Source organism: Homo sapiens, chromosome 22 (assembly GCF_000001405.40).
Source record: "Homo sapiens chromosome 22, GRCh38.p14 Primary Assembly".
NCBI classification, from domain to species: Eukaryota; Metazoa; Chordata; class Mammalia; order Primates; family Hominidae; genus Homo; species Homo sapiens.
The window spans coordinates 31,030,376-31,035,380 of record NC_000022.11 but is presented as its reverse complement, the minus strand read 5'-3'; positions in this window follow the sequence as shown (position 1 = coordinate 31,035,380).

Here is a 5,005-nt window from a genome sequence, read left to right as displayed (position 1 = left end):
ATGTCTTGCCAAGTCTTATTCCACCTGAAAAGCATTCACTGAGGGTCTTTTTCTTTTGCGTGCCAGAACTTGGGGACAGAAGATAAAGGCAGAAGGGCCGGGTGTGGTGGTTCATACCTGTAATCCCAGCACTTTGGGAGGCCGAGGCGGGTGGATCACCTGAGGCCAAGATGGTGAAATCCCATCCCTACTAAAAATTTAAAAAATTAGCCAGGAGTGGTGGCATGTGCCTGTAATCCCAGCTACTCGGGAGGCTGAGGCACAGAATTGCTTAAACCTGGGAGGCAGAGGTTGCAGTGAGCCGAGATCATGCCACTGCACTCCAGCCTGGGTGACAGAGCAAGACTCTGTCTCAAAAAAAAGAAAAAAAAAAAAAAATTAGCTGAGTGTGGTGGTGGCACACACCTGTAATCCCAGCTACTCAGGAGGCTAAGGCAGGAGAATCGCTTGAACCTGGGAGGCGGAGGTTGCAGTAAGCCAAGATTGCACCGCTGAACTCCAGCCTGGGCGACACAACAAGGCCTCGTCTCAAAAAAAGAAAAAAGAAAAAAAAAGGTAAAAAAAAAAAAAAAAAAAAAAAGGCCGGGTGCGGTGGCTCACGCCTGTAATCCCAATACTTTGGGAGGCTGAGGTGGGTGGATCACGAGGTCAGGAGATCGAGACCATCCTGGCTAACACGGCGAAACCCCATCTCTACTAAAAATACAAAATATTAGCCGGGCATGGTGGTGGGTGCCTACAGGCTCCCAGCTGCTCGGGAGGCTGAGGCAGGAGACTGGCATGAACCTGGGAGGTGGAGCTTGCAGTGAGCCGAGATTGCGCCACTGCATTCCAGCCTGGGCGATAGAGCGAGACTCCATCTCAAAAAAAAAAAAAAAAATATATATATATATATATGAGGTGTGGACAGGGGCTTTTTTTTTTTTGAGACGGAGTCTCACTCTGTCACCCAGGCTGGAGTGCAGTGCTGCAATCTCGGCTCACTGCAAGCTCTGCTCCCGGGTTCACGCCATTCTGCTGCCTCAGTCTCCTGAATAGCTGGGACTACAGGCACCTGCCACCACGCCTAGCTAATTTTTTGTATTTTTAGTAGAGATGGGGTTTCACCATGTTAGCCAGGATGGTCTTGATCTCCTGACCTCGTGATCTCGTGATCTGCCCGCCTCGGCCTCCCAAAGTGCTGGGATTACAGGCGTGAGCCACCGGGCCTGGCCAATAGACGGGGCTCTTTCAAGAAAAGGCTGGTGTGAGTCAGGTGCCAGGGATGAGAGTGGGCCTGATTGCTAACTAGGAGCCTGCCTTCTCTGAAATCCAACCCCCTTGCATTTCCCCATTGGTGTCTTTGCAGTTGGGCCCTGGCAGATCTGGAGCTGTATAAGTGGGTAAGCATGTCATTGTGTAAACTTGTAATCATATAGTGTGTGATTATGTCAGTACGTGTAAACAGTAAGTGTGTGACTATGTAAGGAACTAAGCAAGCATGCAACAGGATAACCAGATAAACAAGTAAGCATGTAATTGTGTTACTATGTGAGACTGATGTAAAAGGGACACATGTAAGGAGGTAAGCATGCAGCAAGTAAGCAGGGAAACGTACAAACAGGTGAATATATAAATATGTAAGTGAGTAAGCATACAACCAGGTCAGGGGTATGTAATTGTGTAGGCAGAAATTCTGGTGTTTTTTTTTTTCTTGAGACGAAGTCTTGCTCTGTCGCCCAGGCTAGAGTGCAATGGTGCAATCTCGGCTCACTGCAATCTCCGCCTCCCAGGATCAAGCAATTCTCCTGCCTCAGCCTCCCAAATAGCTGGGATTATAGGCGCCCGCCACTATGCCTGGCTACTTTTTGTATTTTTAGTTGAGACGGGGGTTTTTCCATGTTGGCCAGGCTGGTCTTGAACTCCTGACCTCAGGTGATCCACCCGCCTTGGCCTCCCAAAGTGCTGGGATTACAGGCGTGAGCCACCGCACCTGGACAGAAATTCTGTAAATGAGTATACATGTAAGCAGGCAATCACATAAGTGGTAAGTGTGCAAGACGTGTGTGTGAGCAGGTGATCACATAAGCGGGTCAGCGTATAAGCAGGTAAGTGTGCAAGCATGTGAGCATTTGGCCTGCTGCTTGAGGTGAGACATGCAGCTTCCACAGGCTGCACTAATGAGTACCTAGGCTGCTTTCAGAATTTTAACCCAGTTATCATCTCAGCTTGCAATATGGTGAAGTGACCACATCCAAAACGCATTCTAGAGTGTTCTCAGCACCACATGGCCTTAGATCATTTGGGAGTTTATTTCTACTCACGCCATTGTCAGACAGGGCATACCAAGCTTCATTGTCCTATAGGGCCGGTTTCCCAAGGTGGTCTTGAATGTTCACACAGTGATTTTCAAGAATAAACATTTTTTCCTATCAATCATTCCATGTGTCTTAGATGAAAATTTAAAACTGACCCTCCAAACTCATAATTTCATTGTGGCCATCATTTATTAGGATGAGTTAAATTGCTAATATGTGTTTGTTTGTTCGGTTTTGAGACAGAGTCTGGCTCTGTCACCCAGTCTGGAGTGCAGCGGTATGATCTCGGCTCACCACAACCTCCGCCTCCCGGGTTCAAGTGATTCTCCTGCCTCAGCCTCCTGAGTAGCTGGGATTACAGGTGTGCATCACCATGCCCGGCTAATTTTTGTATTTTTAGTAGAGATGGGGTTTCACCATGTTGGCCAGGCTGATCTCGAACTCCTGACCTCGGGTGATTGCCCGCCTTGGCCTCCCAAAGTGCTGGGATTGCAGGTGTGAACCACCGCGCCCAGTTAATGTATGTACTTGTAAAAGGGAGTTGAGGCCGGGCAAGGTGACTCATGCCTGTAAGGAGTGAGCCAAGATGGCACCACTGCATTCCAGCCTGGGCGACGGAACCAGACTTCATCTCAAAAAAAAAAGTGGGTTGATCCCCACTCCACAGCTGGGGCCCCCTGGGCAACCTGATTTGCTGGCAGCAGTGAAGCTTGGGCCATGGCAGCCTCCATTCCACAACCAGGCACTGACATGTGGTCCCATCCAACTGCAGTGGCAACAGCAGCAAATTCCCTTGTTTCCTTGCTCTCCACCCAGTAGCACAGGGAAAGCCAGGCCCAGTGGCTTCTGTCTGTCCCCACCCCACCAGAAGGTCCTCAGCAGCTGACACAGGACAGCACCTCTTCCCCTGCATATGGCACCAACAGGGCTTGAGCGGGAGCCTCAGCATCACCAGAAGAATGAAGCAGATCAGGGTAGCATTGCGAGGGCTCAGAAAACTAGGCTGTCATTAGAACTAAAGCCCATAATAGTAGGCCAGAACTTACACCTAAACAGAGTGACTGTCTGCTAAAATACAAGATTTCAACAGGATCAAGAGTTTCCCAGCCTGATGCAGTGGCTCAGATCTGTAAACCCGGCACTTTGGGAGGCCAAGGTGGGAGCATCCCTTGAGGCCAGGAGTTCAAAACCATCCGGGTCAAACCTTGTCTATAAAAAAATAAAAAAAGAGTTTCCTAACATAACCAAGATGTCCAGACTACAATAACAACAAAAAAAATCCATTATAAAAAGAAAAAGAGAAATTATAATCTGAATGAGAAAAGATAATCAACAAATGCCAATATAAAGATGAATTATGCGTAGGAATTATTGGACAAAGTTTTTAAAGTAGCCATTATAAAAATGCTTCGACAATACAGTTGACTCTTGAACAACATGGAGGTTGGGGTGCTGACTGATTCTGCAGTCAAAAATCAACCTATAACTTTTGATTCCCCAAAAACTTAACTATTAATAGCCTATTATTGACCAGCAGCCTTACCAATAATATAAACAGTTAACACATATTTTGTGTATGTATTATAATACTGTATTTGCACAATAAAGTAAGCTGGAGAAAGAACATGTTATTAAGAAAATCAGGCCAGGTGTGGTGGCTCCCATTTCTAATCCCAGCACTTTGGGAGGCCGAGGCGGGAGGATCACTTGAGGTCAGGAGTTCAAGACCAGCCTGGCCAACAAAGCAAAATCCCATCGCTACTAAAAATACAAAAATTAGCTGGGCGTGGTGGCACACGCCTGTAATCCCAGCTACTTGGGGGCCTGAGGCAGGAGAATCACTTGAATCCAGGAGGTGGAGGCTGCAGTGAGCTGAGACTGCACCACTGCACTCCAGCCTGGACGACAGAGTGAGACTCTATTTAAAAAAAAACCACAAAACTTAGCCAGGTGCAGTGGCATGCACCTGTAGTCCCAGGTACTCAGGAGGCTGAGGCACAAGAATCACTTGAACCCAGGGAGCGGAGGTTGCAGTGAGCTGAGATCATGCCACTGTACACTCCAGCCTGGGCGACAGAGTAAGATTCTGTCTCAAAAGAAAAAAAATGTTATTAAGAAAACCATAAGGAGGAGAAAATATATTTACTCTTCATTAAATGGAAGTGGATCAACATAAAGGTCTTCATCCTTATTGTCATATTTAGTAGGCTGAGGAAGAGGAGGGGGTTGGTCTTGCTATCTCAGTGGTGGCAGAGGTAGACGAGGTAGAGGAGGTGGAAGGGGAGAAAAGTGAGGCAGGCACATTTGGTGTAACTTTTATTGAAAAAAAAAAACTGTGTTTAAGTGGACCCACAGAGTTCAAAGTCATGTTCGAAGGTCAATAGTAATTATAAATTATCTTGAAACAAATGTAAAAGTATAAAATCTCATGCCAGGCATGGTGGCTCATGCCTGTAATCTCAGCACTTTGGGAGGCTGAGGTGGGTGTATCACCTGAGGTCAGGAGTTCAAGACCAGCCTGGCCAACATGGTGAAACCCCATCTCTACTAAAAAAAGCCAGGCATGGTGGCACATGCCTGTCATCTCAGCCACTTAGGAGGCTGAGGCAGGAGAGTCACTTGAACCTGGGAGGTGGAGGCTGCAGTGAGCTGAGATTGGGCCACTGCACTCCAGCCTGGATGACAGAGCTAGACACTGTCTCAAAAAA